The 21,743-nt window shown below is 40.7% G+C and overlaps 1 protein-coding gene across 61 annotated transcripts in view; it reads right to left on the bottom strand.

Moving 5' to 3' along the window:
* EPB41L3 (erythrocyte membrane protein band 4.1 like 3) overlaps positions 1 to 21,743 on the bottom strand; it is a 238,278-nt gene that overhangs the window by 68,275 nt on the left and 148,260 nt on the right. For all 61 annotated transcript variants that reach the window (NM_001384702.1, NM_001384706.1, NM_001384705.1 and 58 more), the window contains one exon: positions 17,581 to 17,778. In NM_001384702.1, coding sequence (NP_001371631.1) covers positions 17,581 to 17,634 — 54 coding nt within the window. In that variant the 5' untranslated portion in view covers positions 17,635 to 17,778. The remainder of the gene's footprint in view (positions 1 to 17,580; positions 17,779 to 21,743) is intronic.

The raw sequence follows: 21,743 nt of genomic DNA on the forward strand, positions 1-21,743 counted from the left end.
TGAATAAGCTATCAGAGAGCTGCAGTAGAGAGTTTAATCTTAAACTGGCCCTGGAATAAACTCACTTCTTTTCACCTACCAAGTTGTTTTTGTGGCATGGACACCGGGTTGAGGCTTCCTCCTCTGTGCCTGTTAGAGATCTCAGAACATGCATTTTGTGGATTAACCTCATGCTTGGCTTCCTACTCTCATTTTCTCTTGGTCCGCTTTCTACATATTTATTTTCTCTTTGTTATACTGGGTGCATTTATGTAAAACAGCCTAAGTCCTTGCTAGAACACGGTGGGGTTTAAATAATAGAAACCCCAAGTTAAAGTAAAATTCACTTTTGAAATATTACATTTCCAGTTCTGGTGGTGGTGTTTTATTTTTTTCCCCCCTATCATGAGGAATTTGCAGTCATCATACTATTAAAGAAAGTTTTGTAAGTCGTGACGTCTGGGCAGTATTTTTTCTAAAGGAATAACTGGAGACATTAACTGGAGCATTTTGCTTGGGGTAATCATTTAAAACCATTCATGTGTTTTACAAGCTCAGTCTAATGGCATTTCCCTAAGGAATGTGGTGCCTCTTTAGTGACTTTATTTGCTGTCACCATGGCATTCCATAAAAAATAACAAGTCTCTGTATTCCTTCCAGTTTTCCAAACACCATAACAAGAACCAATTCCTTATGCTGCCTGTGCGTCTGCAAACCATCACTTATGTCTATAAGCAGCAGCAGGGAAAATGAGGTGCATTCCTAAGTGCAAATAGGACTTAGAATTTTCTCATGTGCTTATTAGAAAAGGACTCCAAATGTACATACATGTTAAACACAGCTGTCTGTCATGCTGAACAGATACATTCTTATACAACAAAGATATCTTGTTTATTGACAAGAAGAAACCTGCACCAATCAAAGCATTTCATGAATTAATATCTAATCTGGTCATTTTGATTTGCCTATGGTAGACTTATCCTTGACCTAGATTATAGGAAACAGTCACTAGGCAATGCTAACAAAATAGGTCAGTCTTGCAAGAGAAGCAACAGGAAGATCCTAAATTCTATTTATACAGAAAGAAAATATCCACAATAGCAATCTGACAAGGGAAATCATGACAGCAAGTTCTAGGAAGCTAACTTTATTGATGGAAATGTTATTTGTTCCAACAAAAAACTCCCACAACTGGAAGTCTGTGACCCCTTACAGAACAAATAAATAAAAAGCTTAAGGTGCATTGGCTGGTCGATAACAAGCCACAAAATGGAAGAGAAAAAAAGAATCCTTTGCCTCTCTGCTGTGCAGAGAGGGAGTGAGACCAATAGTTCAGCACCAGATGCCTCCTGCCAGGGCCAGAAGGTAAGAGCAGGGTATTATTACAGCCCCAAACTAGAAAAATGCTGGAGGCTACACTTAAAGGGTTTATTTTTTTCTAATTTCAGATAAACATTTAAGAGAACTTTCTGAATCACACCACTCTTCACATTTTTTAATAATGGTACCTTAAAAATCACAATTATGCAGTATGCTGATGTAAAGCTACTTCTAATATTCATCTTAAGTTGTTCAAAGGAGAATCAGACATCAGTCGGTCCTCATAAACATGTAATGTTATGGTTCTTACCACTTTGTACAGCTGAAATTCTAATGTATGAAAGACAGCAAAAAGCCAAATTAAATAAATAAAAGGAGAACTGGCAATGAACTGAAAGAAGGCACAAGAATCAATCAAAGAGCATGACAACACTCAATTATTTCTCCACAATGGTACCTTATGCAACCTTCCACTTCCTGTTTTCTAGTCCTTGCATGGCACTTAGAAAATTATATCAGGATGCTTTTCTACGCACTCTCTGTTTTTGAACTGTTTGATGGACCCTCATACGGTCACAATCACTACTGCAATTTCCCCAAAGGATCAGGTACTCCCAGCTCATAAGCTGGAACAGGGCAAAAATGGAAAACAGGTTCGGTGTGGGGAAGAACCCGAGGGTGGGGGATTTGTCAAAGCTGTCCCCACTCCCTACTTCAAAGGTTAGTATCCCCCAGAGCTCTGTTATTAAGGCTCTTTTCTTCTTGCTCATTCGCTCACTACCTGCATAACCTCATTCACTGCCAGGTTTGAATTCATATAAAAGATAATGGCTCCCACAAAGTCTACCAAATTGACATCTCTTGCAAATGACAAACAGTATACCCAGTTGCAATAGTAGATTGCTACTTTCATATTCCAGGCACTTTAAATTCAACGCATCTAAGTTAAATTCACTGTCTTCCCCCATAAACTTTTTCTCTTGTATTCTACATCCATTGGTAGTACAACTCTCTATGCAATCACTTAGTCCACAAATCTCGAAGTCATTATCAGTTACTGGCTCTTACCACTACCCACATCCCCCTAATATATCCAATTGATCAGGCCTGCTCCTTTTCAGGATAGTTCCTTAAAATCTACTCTCTTCTCTCTACCTCATTGCCAATTGCCTTGGTTCTGGTTCTCAGCATCTCCTGCCTGGTTCTTTACAATAGAGCTGACTAGTGTCCCTGTTCTATTCTCTTAGCCTCCAATTGCTATTTAGCCAACAGAAGAACATTTTAAAACATGAATGAGCCAAATAACTCCCCTACATAAAGCTCCTCAGAAGCACTCATCCCCTATTGTGACAGGCAGAATTCTAAGATGGCTCAAGCTTTCCTTCCTCCCTGGTGTATATGCCTGCACCATCCCTGAAACTGTGAATAAAGTAGATCCTACTCCTGTGATGAGGTGATGCTGGAGGGCACAGCTGACCTTAAGACCAGGACATTATCCATGCGGGTTTGACCTAATCATGTGAGCCCTTTTCTCTAGCTGGTTGCCGATGGTGAGGTCAGAGATTCCTGAGAAGACAAATCATGGTGAGGGAGGTTCTATGTTGCTGTGCTACAGGAGCCTCATGGGAAGGATTCGAGAGTGGACTCTGTAGCTGAGAGCGGTTCCTGGACAACAGCCAGCAAGACAGTAAGGACTTCAGTTGCACAACCACAGGGAAATGAATTATGCCGACAACCCTAAGGAGTATGAAGCTGATCTGTTCCTAGCCCAGTGTCTCCATGAGGATGCAGTCAGTGAACAACATGATTTCTGCTTTCTGAGACCCTGAACACCGGACCAACTGACATACACTGGACTCCTGGCCTATGCAAAACGTGAGATGATAAACACATGCGGTTGTAGGCTACTATGTGTATCGGGTGCTGTTTTAGGCCACTATGTTTACGCGATGTTTTGCCACAAGAGAAAACCAATATACCAATAGAACAATATCCAACCTTGTGAGCACACTAAACCGATCCTTCCACTCCAGGGCTTTCCACTCCAGCTCATTTCCTGCCCATGGGTCCCAGGGCTTTCCACTCCAGCTCATTTCCTGCCCATGGTGTTTCAAACATACTCAACACTTGCTCTCACATCTCTTCATCTGCCCCAACAATGAAAGTGCTAAGCAATGTTACATAAATATCACGCACATAGTTAGAACTATTCCGGAAATTTAAAGAATTAAACTAAATTAAAATATGTGAATACTACTTGATTTTATGTTGCCTTAAATACCTCTACAGGGATAGTCAGCTAACATTTTCTAACAATTAATATCTACCTGCCACAAGGTGACTGGGGACCTGCTTACCCATTATGCACAATCTGAACCACCACTGAGGAATCTTTACTCCTAAGAAGGTATTTACAGCCAGCCAAAGATCTGTGGTCAGGCTTTCTACACATCAGCCCTGTTTCAAAATCTGGCCCCTAAAAAAGAAAGAAGAATCCAGGAAACGTGCCTCAAACAGCTACTCCCAATTTCTTCAGGGCAAAAGAGAAAGTCCTCTATGACAGTAGAGGATGTGTCCCAACATGAAAATGAGTGAGCTGGGTCGCTTTCCATCTCTTTCCTTCCTCCCAGCTGCTACTATTGAGTCCCTAGTCATTTTTTTAAAACCCAGACTAACATAGAACTCCAAATATGATAGGAGACAAAAAAGAACCTTATCCTATACTTGCTATGGAAGGGCAAATATAGAATAACTCGTAATTTTAAAGGTACTTGAAATCAAATTCAATATGAAGTCTCTTCAAATGCACCACTCAGAGTTACTAAGTAAGAAATCAGAAGACATAGCAGAACTAGAAAGAATGTCCTCTGCCAACGTCCCGAGGGACTAGAGATGAAGAAAAAGAGGGTTGACTTCCTCAGATCCTTTCTTTAATAGACTTTCCCACATTATTTGAGTGAGTTCATTACTGAAGCCAAGGAACACTATACCTACTTGTTCCCTATAAAATGTGAGTCCATTCAGGATAAGAGACAAGCACTGAAAGTCACAAGTGGCGTGTGTGTAATTACTTTCAAAATATATTCAGGCTTGTTAAACACCTACTGATTTCTGACACAACAGCAACAGAACCTTAGCTACATCTTCTGTCTAATCTCAGCAGGTTCAAACAGGACAGTGTGAGAAAAAAAGCAAGTTTCCCACATTTTCCGGCTCACCTTCTCAATTCTACCAGTTTCTAGGTAGGTGGGTTTTTAAAACAATCTTAAGCACAATTGTTGCTTCCTATTCTTATTTAATAAAATTGTTCAGCACTTCCAGAACTGCCAAATTAATGAGTAGCTGATGGGAAAACACAAATACTATTCTTTCCAGGTTAAACAACAAATAAACAAAAATGAGAAATTGAGAGGCACATTTACATAGACATTTACATTCTCAGATTTAAGAAATATTTTTCGGTGTCTTATATATTATTAGGCGATAAAAGTAAATCTCTAAATAGTATGAAGGTTCTGATCCTATTTTCATGTTAAAAACCCACCAATCTGTATGGTATTTTATATTTATATTCCTAAAGACAAAGGCTTAGAAGGGAATATATGTTTTATGGGGTGGAAATTCCATAACTTTAAAGAACCTTTCAAATTTGCCAGCCACTGCAGACCCAAAAAAGGTCCCTGGCACCTGCAGACATAACATTCACTCTCTCTATCACTCACAACAACCCTGTGAGCTCCACTTCACAGATAAGACAACTGAGGACTTCTGGGGATGAATAGTTGATGTGCTGCCTCCTAAAATTTAATATTCTTAAGTTCAAAAATCAATTCTTTATGGAGTGGAATGGGAGAACTTTTCTACCATATTAACAATCCTCCAGTCTCATTTAATTCATGAAATTCCTGTAGATATTCAGATATTCAACTGTTAGGGTATCTACATTCTGAGTTTTAAGCACACATTTTTAACAGTCTGGGGGTGAGTGATCCATATGTATTACCACCACCAACAAAAAAAAAAAAGTAGGAAAAAAACTATCAAATATCAGTATGTAACCTTTAGGCAGAGCATTTTCCTCTCTATATTTCATTATCATTTTTTCCATTTCCCACTGAATTATGTAATTGCCATTTCCAAACAGCAAACAACATTGGACTGAAATACAACAATGCCAGATTTTCCCTTACTCCTCTGCTGCAAAAAATTAACAATATCATAAAAATAGTAAAACCACAAAAGGTATTTCACTGCATTTTAATATCTCCTTTTAACTTAAAAACTTTTTTCAAACGAATAGCACCATATTCCTTTTGTGATAAAAGTCAAAAAAGTGTTACCTCTCTCCACATGCCAATCAGACACTGGACTGTAGGGCATTTGTGTTAGCCAAATCCTGAAACTAATTACTGCCAGTGTACGCTTCCTGTTCAGACTGCATCAGCCAGTGTGCGTGTCAGTAGTTGTATGAATGCTGGTTCTTAGTAAATATTTCATCATGTCTCCACGACAGGGCCTTCAACAGCATACTATATTTCATTCTTCCCTGAACCTACTTCCACATTTTGTTGGAAATCATGCACGCAACACGCCACACACATCACATACACATTTTACAGGGCTGAACTAGACTTTGTGTTCTCCTTCAACTCTAAGAACTTGTGTTTTCACCAGACCTCAACTCTGTGTCAAAAAGTGCTCATAGATGCTGTTGATAAGCCTCAGAATATGGAGACAAAGTTAAAAGACATCCTCCTTTGAAATGGAAGTTAACCAAAAAAGAGATGATCAAAAACTCAAGTGACTATCCATCATGTAGAAACTTTTCCTAGGATATTATCCACCTATGAAAAGATTTCTAATCTTGTGGCTGATGACAGCAGCCTGCTTCCTAAACTTCCTGAAGGGCCAGCAGTACTTCCACAAAAAGGAAGGCATGAATTGAAATGCTAACTAAGGGGAGATAAGCTACAATCCTGAAAATTATAACCTGCCTTTCACGGGGGAAATGCTGTAATTATGAAACAAACTGGCAATTGATCAGGAAAATTGAAAAAGAATCACTAGATGGTGCAACTTGTTTCTCTCCAGAAGGGAAGGTTAGGGTCCCCAGGTTTGACTCACTTTTCCACTTTAAGCTAGATGATGTGATAACTATAGAACTTGCTTATAATCATTCTATATGAAGGCAAAGAGCTTTGTCGAGCCTTGAAACTTGTTCCATACACCACTCTGAAGACTTCCTATGTTATATCTTTCCAGCTATTTTCCTCTTCTCACTCAAAATGCATTGCTTCGAAGCTTTATTCTTTACATAGTAGCTTATTTCATGGGACAGTATAATCATGAGAGTATAAACCAGAGCTTTAGCAGTCATTTTTAGAAATTAGGTTTAAGAAAACTTAAGGGGATGATACTCTGCCCACTGACTAAACCTGTTTCTCTTCAACAGGATCTGAGCCCCTTTTCTCCTGATTAATCCACTGCAGGCCTAGAGCCAAGCTGCCCTGTTTATTAAAACGGGATACCCACTACAGCGTCCACTGCAGATGCACTTCAAGATTTCAAAGACTTCCAGCCACAAGAAGACGGCAAGTGAAGAAAATAGGAGAAAGTGAATAGTAGGTAAAGACTTTAGTAGCCTCTCTTCCATCTATCTACCCAAAAACTACATATATAAGTTAAATTAGAAAAATTCACCAATTTTGAAGTCAAAAGTGTACAGAATTACAAATACAGGAGGTAATCAGAAACTTAATTTTCTCAGCTTCATAAACTGTGAAGTAGATCCTTCTCCTTCTGTTTCCTTTTTCTTCCTATCGATGGCAGTGGTGGCCTGACTGGAGTGGCCGCTGCCATGACACCAGCTGTAGCAGGGGAGGCGCGGCCAAGACTGCACGCTCCACAGAGCCGGCAGGAGCCAGGAACAGGTGGGAGCCTCACCTTCCTGCCCAGCTGCAGCTGTGGATTTGGGCATCCCTGCACTCTCAGGGGTACAGGAACCCCCCTGCCCCTACAGGCTTGTAAGTGCCTGCTCCCACTGCCTGGCTTCTCCTTGTTCTGGGCACCCACTCCAATTTCAGAGCAAAGTTGTGGCTGAGCCTGGGCTGTCATGACCCAGGCAGGTGTACATGCACTTGAGGTGGTGCTGACACTCAAGTCCCCTGCTGCCTCGGACCCCTCCAGACTTTGTGCCAACAAGCATGGGAAGGAGGCTAAGGGGGACACTGAGGGCAGCTTGGCACAGGCCTGCAGGTGCCCCTCAGCACAAATAGCCTGGGCACCCTGGATGACATGTAGATGGTGACAGGAGGCCGGCAGGCTCCTGGCAGAAAGGGGTGGGTCCCTGGTGAAGTCCCACCCTCCAGCTAGGGATGGTCTGAAACATGTGGGCCAGGCTCTCAGTTCCAGGTGGAGTCCGCGGCCCCCTGAGTGATAACTTACGGTGCTTTTTCCAGGCCTGCCCATGGCTGCTGGTGGGCCAGTCAGCACGTACTTCCTCCCTTCTGAAGCCCATAAAAACTAGACTCAGCCAGACTCACAGACTTTGGGATGACCTGCTAGGGGACAGGAGCTGCCCATGGCAGTCTCCTCTCCTCTGAGGGCTGCACACTCGACAGGATGACCGGCCTGCAGACAGGAGCTACCCACTCCAGGACTGCTCTCCGCTGACAGCTGCACCCATTGGGATAACCTGCCTGTGAAAAGAGCTACCCGCAGAGGCGGGCAGATCATCTGAGGTCAGGAGTTCGAGATCAGCCTGGCCAACATGGCAAAACCCCCTCTCTACTAAAAATACAAAAACAATTAGCCAGGCGTGGTGGCATGTGCCTGTAATCCCAGCTACTTGGGAAGCTGAGGCAGGAGAATCGCTTGAACCTGGGAGGTGGAGATTTCAGTGAGCTGAGATCATGCCATTGCACTTCAGCCTGGGCGACAGAGAGACTCCATCTCAAAAAACAAAAAACAAAAAACAAACAAACAAACAAACAAACAAAAAACAAAAAACAAAAAGAGGAAAAAGAGCTACCCACTTCAGGTCTCCTGAAAGCTGTACTGTCACTCAATAAAGCACCTCTTTGTCCTGCTCCCCATCCAGTTGCCCACGTACCTCATTCTTCCTGCACATGGAACAAGAACTCAGGAACTGCTGAAAAGCATAACTGAAAAAGCTGTAACACACACAGGGCTGAAACACCCCATCCCTATTCCTCGCCACACTGGGGGTGACAAGAAGGAGAGAAGGGCTGCACCCCTTCTGGGAGCCCAGACCTAGAGCCTCCCTGAGCCAGGGCTGTGACATCCTCTTTGGGGGGTCTGTGGTTTCTGGCATCTCCAAGCTTCCGGGTGTCACTGCGTTCCCCTTGTCCAGACATGGGTACCCACAGCAGAAGTTGTTTCCAGTGCATCCGATCCAGCCGCAGGCTTGCCCAGAGCTGGTGCCTGTGCCAGTGCCTGGAGCTGTCTGCCCCGCCATAGCAGCCAGCATGCCTGGCTGTGTGTATGCCTGGCTGTGTGTAGTGGCTGGACCCCGCACTTGCTTGCTCATGCACCGATCATCACTCCACACCTGGCTTGCCCTTGACAGGTGTGGGATCTGGGCCAGTAGCATGAGCCAACTGCAGCCTGCAAGTCGAGTGGGCGGAATGAGCCCAATGGGCCTGAGCAAAAATCAAGCATAGGCGCCACCCGCCCTAGAGGCTTCCGGCTGGAAAAGGAACGTCCGAAAGATCCTGTGACACTACTAAAACACAAGTCCACGCTGGAGACAAATACTATACTTTGGATCGTTCCTTCTGCTGTTGTAGAATGAATTTTTTTTTTTTTTTTTTGAGATGGAGTCTTGCTCTGTAACCCAGGCTGGAGTGCACTGGCGCAATCTTGGCTCACTGCAACCTCTGCCTCCCGGGTCCCGGTTCAAGCAAGTCTCCTGCCTCAGCCTCCCAAGTAGCTGGGATTACATGAATGCGCCACCATGCACAGCTAATTTTTGTATTTTTAATAGAGACAGCGTTTCACCATGTTGGCCAGGCTGGTCTTGAACTCCTGACCTCGTGATCTACCCGCCTTGGCCTCCCAAAGTGCTGGGATTATAGACGTGAGCCACCGTGTCTGGCTGACTTTGCATGTTTTAATTCTGTAGTGCAGAGACCTCTGAAACAGAGAGCAGGAGATCTGGGTTCTAGCCTTTCTCTGTGTGTCCTCAGACACACTGTTAGCTTCCCTGTGCCTATTTCCTCACCAGTGAAACAAAGCAGGAGAAAAGGTCATTCCCAATGTCCCTTCCAGATATAAAATTGTTTGACTTTATGGTGAAGACAATCTCACACATAAGCTCAAGCCTTTGGCTCATTTGGTCTTCAGTGCCTGGAATGTAACAAGCGCCCAAGCAAAACTTTACATTAAAGTCCCTGCAAAATGAGTACAGCTCTTTGGTATCTTTTGTACACAATGTGGTAACATGTTTTATGGATTAAAATTGTAAAGAAGAAAAACCAACATGCATTAAGACAAATAATAATTAAAACCCAAAGGATTCACTCTTGTTAAAAAAAATAGTTCAGTGCTTATAATGCACAAATTGATCAATGCATTCTAGAAAATGCAAAGATTTTAATGAAGACCAAATGAGGCAAAGGCTTAAGGTTAGATGTGAGATTGCCTCTGCCATACAGTCAAACAGACTTATGTCCGGAAGGGACAATGAAAATAACCTTGTCTCCTACCTCGTTGAACTGCTGAGGAAGTAGGCTCAGACAAGCTAAAGGTGTACCTGATAGAAACTACACCTTAAGGGATTTTTGGAAATTATAAGTATAGATCTACTTCTAGAAAGAAGTCGGGTAAAGCGCATTGGTAGCAGACAGTCCTGTACTGGGGTCATGGGGCACCAGATAAACCTGTGCAGATGGGAGGCCACTGTAGCCACCCAAGGAGTTGGCTGAAGTCTACCATGCTGGAAAGACTCTTTTCCTGAGGAAGTAAATAAGGAATGCCTTGGACTAAAGTGGGAAGCTTCCTTTTCTCCCTGAGGTTAGAGCTGACTGGGGGCCTGGACTCTGAGGAGTAGAAAGGGTAGCATCCTACAGTAGGTGTGAGCTGGTACCTGCCATGCAGGAGCAGAGTGGGCGTCAGGCAGGAAGACATTGATCAGGAGCTCTACGACTCCTACAAAGGCTACATGATGTAGCCGGTGTGCTTTCTGTTATACTGTCTGTCCTTAAAGGCTGTACTCAAGTATGCTATGGGGAATTAGGGAAAGCTTGCTTTCTTTCTGAAGAAGCAGTTGAAAGGGCAGCACCGCCATCTGAACCCAGGGAAAGGTGTCAGTGGCAATTCTGAGTGGCCAAGTCACCATCTCACAGGGCTCTGTGGCACTAAAGCCACACGCAGAGTAAGGAAATTTAAAGGACTTCTTCCACAGCTCATGGGAAAACTCTCGGGAATCATGCTAGGGAAGATTCTGACAGAGGTGAACTTCAAGCAAGTCAACTGGAGATAAAAATATGAAGTATCACGTGAAATCTTAGTCACAGGATGGTGAAAACTAGAAAACTTGGAATATTTTCAGACTTGGAAGACTGCTTTCCGCATTAAACCAGTAAGTCATGTATATCTACTATGTGAAAAATTAACCATAGTATTGTACAAAATCCAGAGATAAGATACTGTCCTCTGAAACAGGCAAGACGATGGAGCAGAGCGTTTACCTGTGAGTCCCTCTGCCTGGGCATAGGGAAGGAAAGTCCATTTCATGACATCAGCAACACAAAGTGGCCATAAAACACACTGGAAGCCTGAAGACTCAAAGGAGTTAGCTTTGCACGAAAAGGCAAACCTAGGGCTTCAGCATCACGATGTCAGAATACTAACATTTGGGAAATGAATCCTGTTAGGCCTTCACACAATGTGACAACTGGGAGTGACTGGGAGTTAGCAAAAAGAATGCCTTAGTGGATTTTATCTCACATAGAGCATCGACCATCGAACGCACGTAGGCACTCAAGTTCCAAAGTCACTCAGCTTCCAAAACACAGCCTACAGTATGATGAAATAGGACTCCTACTGTTTATATTTCTTGATATATACACTCACATTTTTAATATTTATATTGTTTAGAATATTTATTAGGCCTTGTCTACACTCATGATGGACTATTAAAGTTTATTACTTTTTAAAAATGAAAACCAGGAAAATGGATTTAACAGTTTTAGTAAACAGTCTGTTTTAATGAAACCTTATTGAGACAAATGTCAATACCGTAAGATTTAATGGTAATTGTGTAAATGAGACATTGCATGTTAACAGTCCCTGTATGTAACTGTTCCTATGGTTGCACCAAAGAGCTATCACACTAGGAAACAACGTTAATTAAAGTCCTTCCATCCTCCAGAGTCCTAGAGGCATCATTCTTCAAGCAGGAAATTACTGCTGCTGCTGGATGGGGCCATTTGGTTACAGCACGCGATGGATGGTTTGATGTAAGTTCTTCAGTTGAGCAGAGATCCATGGAGGAGGGTGGCATGTTATAGGTTAAACTGGAAACTTACAGAGCTACGTGGAATCAAAAGCTCTGTGATTTATGTGTTTGGTGAATGAACAATACCTGTATTGGTTTAAAACAGTCCTTATTTTTATGGTTTACAATTAATATTCTTGTAATTCAAGAAAAGCAAAAGGTACTCTAACTTTCTACATTATGGCAATTCTATTTGCTCTCTGGTCAAGCACTTCTAAAGGGGTTGGAAAAAATTTAATCATGTAACCTATAGAAGTTGGAAGGCTACGATGTTGAATCTCAATAAGTACAGCATAAAACAGTGTAAGATTTACACAATTAACTGAATCACAGGCAAGACAGAGTATTAGGCAAGTTTTTAACCGTCCCTTACTGACCAATAGTTAGAAGGTAACAAAAGCATCTTAGAAACATACTTCCATAAATTTCCTTATCCTCTCTGGTCCCTTACAAGCATCTCTGGATGGTCTCAAACAATGCTTGTTGGAGTCAAGATGACCGTTTCTGTACTTCAGATTCCAGGCCTATCCTGGAGGGATCTAAATTGTCCTCAGTTACTGAGCCCATTCCACTACAGGCCACTAGACAAGCTCTAAGTAATCTAGGGGCCAGATTTTTATGTGTTATGGCTGCATTTAAATTGCTCTCATTGATTTGCCCCAATCTGGAGGCAAATCTCTCTCCAGTGTGGCCCATTCGCTGGCATGTTTCCCTGGAATACTAGCCCAGCATGGATGTACCTGGGTCCTATAAGCAGTAAATTGCCCTCATTATTGAATTGGCAATATTTAGGGGCTAAATAAACTGACTTTCACATGAGGAGAGAAACATGGCAGGGCCCTTTGAGTAACACCTACCACTCTTAGAGTAATGTTCTGGACACCTCCACCAACAGGGCTTTTTGGGGAAACAAACCAAACTGCACCACACAATGGCTTAAACATTTGATAGATGCAGCAGCAAACCTATCTTATGAAATATGGACCGAAATTTGAGATCAAGCTTGACTTATTTTCCTAAAACAAAATCATACTAGATTAGAATGGTGCCCAAATAGAGAAAGCAAAGTCCTAATTCGATAGTCACTACGAATACACTGTACACTAATCAGTGAGACTCCAATCAGTCTGCCAAACATGGAAGCAGCAAAATGAAAATAAATGAGATGAGTGAGAGGACTGTTACCTCCATTGCATGGAACAGAGATATTTTTATTTATTTTCTCTTTTAAAATGTAGTTTGAGAAATAAGCATCAACAACAATAACAAACTGGCTGAAGGACATTGTTTGCATTCTCTAACAGTACAACAAGAGGAGAATCACATAGTGATTTTGTTGGCATACATGAAAATCTGGCAGAGTGTAAATATTTCTCAAAAATATATATCAAGTTCGCTATAATAAGATCTTTTCTTATATTTTAAATAATCAAGACTGAGTTTGAAAAAAAATTAGTGAGGAAAGTCTCTCAGCCGGGTGTGGTGGCTCACACCTGTAATCCCAGCACTTTGGGAGGCCGAGACGGGTGGATCACGAGGTCAGGAGATCGAGACCATCTTGGCTAACGTGGTGAAACCCTGTCTCTACTAAAAATACAAAAAATTAGCCGGGCGTGGTGGTGGGCGCCTGTAGTCCCAGCTACTCAGGAGGCTGAGGCAGGAGAATGGCGTGAACATGGGAGGCGGAGCTTGCAGTGAGCCGAGATCGCGCCACTGCACTCCAGCCTGGGCAACAGAGTCAGACTCTGTCTAAAAAAAAAAAAAAATCTCTCAAATGGAAAAGCACTGAACACTACAATGATCTAAGCCAACTGCTAGAAGGAAGTTAGAGAAAGCACGATCTGAAAAGGCTAGCATAGAAACATCGGTGGGGAGATGTTGGGGATCAAACAGGCAGTAAGTGTTTAGTCATTGCTCTCAGATAACTACTCCTTCTATCTTGCTTTCTGGGTCGATGGGTCTCTCCCACTGTAGCCTTGTGTGTGCACATGTGTGTGTGTGGAGGTGTGTTGCCAGGGAGTCTTTTACAGGTGACTATAAATTCTCATGCTACCGTCATGGCACAGTTGAGCCTTAATGATTTTAAGTTGACGTGATGAAGGCATTCAATATGCCATGGAGAAAAACATCACAATTTTATGAAAATAAAATGCTCTTTTTGATGCCTTATTAAATGCAAAAAAAAAAGTTTCATCTGTTATCATCGCCTTCATTCTTAATTCATCTGTAACTACACATATTGGAGAGAGGGATTAGGGAAACAATTCCACCTCTTTCAGTCTGGTTTCTTTGTGTCTGCATGTCTCTTCTGTCCATGAGTGGTAGTAGGAAGGGGCATTGGATGTGATATGGTCTGAGGCAGCATCTGAGGAATCAGTGGCTTCCATAATTGCACCTACAGTTTCTACGGGAACCCTCCCAGGCAGTGCGTACATCATCACAAGGTTGACAGCGATCATTAAAGACATTATTTTCCTTTTAACTTACAATCTGACTTCCTATAACTGCTACCTTAGTTTTTCTTTTTATACATAAAAGTTATGATAACCCTTCAGTCTCCACCTTTCCAATTAACTGAGAATAGCTTTCCTATCCTCCACCAATCTTATTTTTTCATATTTAACACATCCTATTTCTCTAACCATTCCTCATATGAAAGCTTCCAGATCATTCACCATCCTATAATTCTCGCTGAATATGCTCAAGTCAAAGTCCATTGTTCGTATTATCATTATTAAACAGGGACCATTTATTAAGAATATGCCACATCCCAGAAAGTGTTCAAATAAATTAGTTGCTCTAATCTTCTCAACAATGCCTTTCGAGGCAAGTATTTTCACCTTCATCTTTCTGTTGAGGAAACCTAGGTTCAGAAACTTTAAGGAAGTTCCTTGAAACCACATGGGTTACCATTAGCCCTCCCCAGTCCGGTGGCTTCAGAGCATTTATCGCATGTGATTGAAACACAGCCCTGAAGGCTGGATCTGTGCAACGCAGGAAACAGGATGGCTCGCTGCCTTCTGCAAACCTAACACTATGCTTCCACGGAAACAGCCTGTGATTACAAAATGGTTTTGACAACTGTAACACACTGTTGGTTCACGATGAGTTTGTAATGAACTTAAAGCTGAAGATGAGTTTTACTCAAATTGTTACCAAGGCTGACTGCCCCTCTCGCAAACACATTTCCATTTTGTACTTGATCCCTTTTATCAGAGTAAAGTTTTACCTCCACTCCTGCTAAATGTTAGCTTTCCTGCTTTGCTTCAGCGTCCCACACTGTCCATTTCATAATAAAACTGGAGTCTGACACTTGGGGCATCAATCTCTTTAAATAAGCAATATAGGCTTTAAAGCTCTACATTGCTTAAAAATAATTGTTCAGCTGTGTTTCTGTGCCTTCGTCAAGTCTTTGATACAGATTCAGTTTCAAGGAGAGCCAACACTGAAGCACACCTTCCCTGGCCTATGCTTCCCCTTCTCTGTTTACCTAGTATGCCCCGTGTGTAGCTCACCAGCCAAACTTTACTTTCCATTGTTTATATCAAAACGCAAGAGCCATTGTAACATGTTTTTTATTTTTCAACTAGCACCTCATTGCCTCCTTGAGAATCACTCTGCTTGATTTACAATACATTTTTCTCATTCAACCAATCGGTTACAAATTAATCCACTGAACTTTACCATGTCCAAATTTCTCCATCTTCTTCACAAAGATGTCAGCCGTGAACATGTATTTTCTGATATCAATGTCTGTGGTGAAACTGAAAAAAATTCTACCAGCAAAAGTTTTTATATCCCAGAAAAAAGTTGCTCTTAAGAATCTGTCAAATGTATAAAAATAATTTATTATAGAAGAAAATAACTGGCCAAGTTTGCTGTGCCACTCAGAATGTTCACAGTGACATTAAAAGAAAGGTAAGTAAAAAATAAAAAATTTGTAACCACAGTGATTATCAGTAATGAATCTGAAGCACAGACATAAATTAAATCTGACAAAATGTTCAACAATACTTGTACCTCGGTCAGCCCTAAGGCATTATCCTCTCTATGTGAAACACTATAAACTTTCTTCTAGACTCTTGGAAGACTCTGATAGCTAGGACTCGAAGACTGCCAGTTTACCCTATTTATTCCATTACATAAATGCAAAAAATAGAAAGACTCTCCTCAAAGTTAAGAGGAAAAGTTTCTCTTGACTTGGATCAATTTTTCCAGAAAATGCATCTACACTGAAGAAATACAGTATTTCTCAAGGTTACAAAAGTTCCATAAGTTTCATAGTAAAACCCAGCTAGAAGTATATTACTGGAGCTGCCTATTTCCAGAATTCAGATCTAGATGAGTAATTGGACACGCTGGCCTAAGAAATGAAACAAAATCAAAGCCAGAAAAAGGCAAGAAATAGTTTTGTGCACGGTCCTTGGGGATTCCTGCAGCAGCCCATCCATGTTTATAAGGATACTGGATGACTAAATTTTCTATAAATTGGTATACAACAGACTAAATAATTTTTGATGTAAGACTTTATTTTCAAAAACCATATAGACTTTTTTCTATGTTCCTGCAATCTGTAACAATTTAGTAACCTACCTCTCATCCCCATCCTAAATGAATTCAGCGTGAAATGGATTTGAATCTTCTGTTCCAAGAAAAACACTGGGTGCATGAGCACATTATAAAAACATAACAGGAATGATATGGGGGTTGGGAGACAGAGGAAGCAGAGTAAATGGGAACATGGGAAATAGGTGGGCTTGGTATTAGCTGTCATGAGGGACGAGGAAGAGAAATATGTGAGGACACACATGTGTGCACTGCCTGTGCTGCCTGGGACAGAGTCTCAGCACAAGCCTGAGGAAAGGGTGGACTCTGAAAGCACAGTGGAATGAAGGGGGAGAGGGGCTGGCTTGGAGATGTGTGTGATACCCTGCCCTCTTTATGACAAGGGCAGGAGCTGGAGGCAGGAAGAATGAGCTCTTTGAATGAAGACATGGCATCTGAAACCTTGCTAAAAGTGCAAGCCATTCCATCTTGGTGCACACACAGACCTGCTCATAGAGCCTGAATTCATGCCCTGCGTGAATCCTCCCTGATACTCAGAGAACTCAACAGTCAGCTGTCTCTGCAGTTCCAGACAGGTTGTGTTCTCAACTGCTAATTTGGTCTTGACAAACATCTCTGACAAAAGGCATTCAACCGCCCTTTCTCTGAGAGGAATCTGTTTTCTTTACAAAGAAAAACAAAGGGTATACCCTTTTACACCGAAACTACAATGCCCACCACAACGTGTCTTTTAAAAATTACTCATTCTCCAAGCAAGAAAAGGTCATGGACATTTTCAAATTATCCCACCACCCCTATGTACAGAATTTGTAAGTTTTCTACCAAGTAACAAGTGACATGGCCATAAATTATGCAAAAAAGGATAAAATTCATGTAAATAATAGCTCGCAGTCAGGATATTAAAGTCTATTTTTAAAGCTTTCAAAATTTTTTTTGTTCCTACCATATTGTTGGAGACTTTGTCTTTTAAAAAATATAAGGTCACAGTTTACTTTTGATTGTAACATTTTGGGACATTATACATATTTTTAATCTGATCCCCTGTTACAGACTAGGGAAATAATTTTATATTTAGAGACTGGGTTTGAGTAATTTTCCAGAGTCCTAGAAAAATAAAGAGGCATCTTGTATATTTTATACCAACATTCCCCAGCTCTCAATATCTAGGACAGAAAAGTCTTAAGACACACACTTACCTCTACATCACAGGTATATTCTGATCCATCGAGAAGTATCACTTTGCACTGCATGCTTTTAGGCTTTTTGACAATCTTTAATGGAGACCGAGAGAGTTTACTGCTAGATGATTTCTGAGAAAGTTTATCGTCTTCTAATTGCTGATATTCGAGCTGTTTTGCAGCCCTGGCAGCAAACTCCTGTTCCTTGTCAGTGACCTGTGAAGAGCAAACAATCAACAGTTTTCATTGCAAGGTGGGAAATAAATATTGCATTGCTCATGCAATAGCACAAAACTGCTTTCTATTTCATAGAGGAGAGGTATTGAATTAGGATATTAGGAATAGATATAAATATACAGATATTTATAATATTTGCCTAAATACTGTTTGCCATTTAAATGTATCAATAAGGCCTTATTTCATTTTAACTCCAGGACTTACTTTAGAACCACTGAGTTAGCAAATGCTATCAAGATTTCATTAAGCAAACAATGAATAATTGACTCCTGACTTTTTAAAAAGGATTGGATAGTATAGGCCTCTAAAATATACTGTTTAGATTTCATCTTACATGTTCTATTTTCTTAATTCACCAGATCCTTCTATACTCTACAACTTGTTATACAGCTGCCTCATCCCTACATATACAAGATATCTGATAAACTCTAAGACCTGGAGAGCTTCAAGTATTAATCTTTTCAGTACTTTTACAACTGTTAAAATGTTTAATTTAGCTCTCAATCAATTCAATGAAGTCAGCAGAACTGAAATTCATCACAAAGTAATCCCCTATGTCTGCTTCCCTTCACTGTAATGAACCAGTGTAAGAACATATCAAATCTGTCCAATAGCTTTAATCTGCTTTCAAACCATAACAGACTAGTCCAGGCTAGTTATAAAACTGCAGAGGACATCTTAAGTAACAGTAACATTCTCCCGTATACCAATCTCTTTGGAAATGTGCACACAGATCTCCAACTATTCTCTCTGTACATCCATCTTCTACCTATTAAATGGCCACCAATGGTAGTACTGCAAATTCGATCCTTGGGCTGCGCCACCACTGCCACTAGTCTGCAAATATGTGCTGACAGTCCAAAGGAAGACATGCACCAGAATTCTGTTTAGGGCTTTGAAATAAGCATGGCATTTCCTTTCCCGTGTACATACTATCAGCCCTTACTTTTCAGGGGCTCGAAAAGTAAAAACAATATTGATGGTTTATCATCTTAATTTTTCTATTAGCCTCTACATTTTTATAACACTAATATAATTACAAAGATATTTGGGTATATTTATTTTGGGTTTTAGGTACAGATTTCTGCTTTATCTTCATTTTCTATCTTGTTTTCCATCCAAAAGATTGCTAATACAGTACTCTCCTCCAATTCTATCTTGCCCAGGATTTCAAGGCAAAGTCTTGAGAACTTCTTAAGAATTGAAAGAGACCAATCTGCTGAGCTTATGAAAAGAAAGCAACAAAAAACTGAATAGCCAATTCTAAAGGCCAAAACAGTTGAGAAGGCAAGTTTTAGCTTAAAAAAAAAAAAGTAAATAAACTAAAGAAAACCTGCTCTGGCAACTCAGTCCTACTTTTTTAATCACTGTCTTTCTATAGCAAAGTATTAAAATAGTAAGTGCAAGAAAATCATAAAATTGTCATTAAGTTTGGCCTTGAGGTAATTGACAGAGAAGTTTGGTTACTTTGGTATTGTATATCAACAACAATAACATATTCATTAAGTGCTTTATAACTTACACAAATTATGAACATTTAAGTTTTATTTTTGTCTCTTCATAGGCAAAGGTCATTAGAAGCTATTAATACATTTTTATTTAAATTTTACCTGAAATCAACATTTTCTATGTAACAGGGAAGATACAATGTCGCTTTTCCTTTACTAAAATAAAAATATCTGTATGAGAACAAGCTTCTGGGTTACTTTAAATGTCAATTCCAGAGGCATCTTAAGGCACCAACTTTCAAAGGATAGGCATTGTTTCTGGGAACACTGGAAACATGAACCCAACACTAAGGCCCTTACATACATTTTTTAAAAAAACTTTAAGAACTCAAAAATAGCAGACTAAGTACCTCAAATGAAATGTCAATCATAGTCATATGATGCGTTCTAATTTTAAATATCGGATTTTAGCTAATTCTCAATCTCTTTTAATCCTCACAGCTCTATGGTATGGGTATTATTACCCTCATTTGCATATAAGGAGAGAGAGACATGGGGAGCCTAAGAAACTCTTGAGGCATAAATTCAATGGATTTGAATGGAATTCAAATCTAGCCAAACCCATGTTCTAATCGTTACTATGTACCAAAATCAGCTTCATTTTACTTCCAACAGATAGCTTCCTAGCCTGAATCAAAGAATTTTGTGGAAGAATCTCAGAAATTATCTTTTCTGAACTCTTCATTTTGTAGACCAAGTGAGGCTTGGGGACTTGCGTGAGTTCTCCGAAGATGGTAAAACAATGACTAGAAGAGACAGGACTTCAAGGTCTCTGCCTTTTGCAGCCAGTCATCTCTCCCTCTTAGTGTCATTTCTCTTGTTTTGTATCTGACTGCAGAAGATAAATAAAGTATATTTAATCATGTCTAGGTATAGATATTCATACTTTTCTATAATTATCTCCCATTTTCATGTTATTTCATTTCAGAGTAAAGAGGAAAGAAGGAAGAAAAAGCAAACATTTACTTTAGTAATTTTAAATGTTTGAAGATTAAAAAAAACAAAATAAACAAAAAGAAAGCCAGACACTATCATCATCATTCCTCCACAAAAAGAAAAGGTAAAAGAAAACCATGATGGCTACAACAGTTCCTTAGGTTTGTCTACTAAGCTGGGATGGGATCTCCCTGCTCTCCATCACAAAGCATCTGAGATGAGACAGAGCAGCTATTTATAGAGTGAAAATAATTGTTATTTATTAATATTGTTTAAAGCAGAACTTGTGACATTCATTTTAAAGTGGTGGCACAGAAGCAAGCTGGTTTCCCTCCTCCCATCCCTCCACAGAAAACCTAAAACAAATATACAGCACAAGATTTTCACCAGCAACAACCTGGAACTCAAATATGAGGACGAGACAGATCCTGAGGCCACAGAAAAGTAGAAAAACTCCATGCAGATGGTGTAAGAATTGGACTTCCATAGTCATGATGCCCCTCCCCTTGATTCTGCCCGGCAATAAAAGTGCAGAAAATCTTCCCCCAACTCGTAGAAAAATGATACTGGAAAAGTGAGACTGAGGTGGCCAACCAGCTTTCCCACCTTCCTGGGATTCCCTGCAGGAGACCTGCCCTTGCCTTAACCCATGGGAAGGAAGTGATGTGACTCTCTGAAGGGAGAAATATCCCCGAGGACAGGCGGAGAAAAAGCCGGGAGATGGGACCACCACCCCAGTCCTGGACACTCTGCTCTGTAACTTGGCCAAAGGAGACACTGAATCAGAGTGGCTGTTCAGCAGCACCACACTGGAGAAGGCACATTCCACAGATCCCTTGGGCACAAACTCCTAGTCAGCCATCCCACATTGCCAGGATAATCCCTCATTCAGGACAAGCGGCACTCCCATCGCTTACGAGAGCCAAGGTGATCTGGGCTTAAAGGCCACCTAGCGCCAAAGAGGTGGCAGAGGCCTAGCGGTAAAAAATTTCTAAGCAAACATATCCAATAAAAAACAAAACAAGCCAGACAGAGAAAACTGCAATTTAAAACTAATCCTTCTATACAAAGACACAGACACCCACCCACAAGAAACAATAGCAAACAGGACCTCCCCAAAAAGACAAGGGAAAATCCAACCCTACAAGATGGCGATTTGTGAGCTAAGAATTCAAAATAACAATTTTAAGGAAACTCATGAGCTCAAGATAAAAATGAAAAGCAATTCAGAAATTTATCAGATAAATTTGATGAAGAGATTGAAATACTTTTAAGAAATCAAACAGAAATCTCAGAACTGAGAAATACATTTGATAAACTGAAGAACTCATTAGAGGCTCTTAGTAGAATGAACAAAGCACAGGAAAGATTCAGTGAGCTCAAAGACCAGCTATTTGAAAAGACACAGAGAAAAAAGAAAAATGAACAAAAAGGAACAGAGTGCATACAAGGTACAGAAAATTACCTCAAAAGACCAAACCTAAGAATTATTGGTATTCA

The sequence above is a fragment of the Homo sapiens genome, chromosome 18, assembly GCF_000001405.40.
Source record: "Homo sapiens chromosome 18, GRCh38.p14 Primary Assembly".
NCBI lineage: Eukaryota > Metazoa > Chordata > Mammalia > Primates > Hominidae > Homo > Homo sapiens.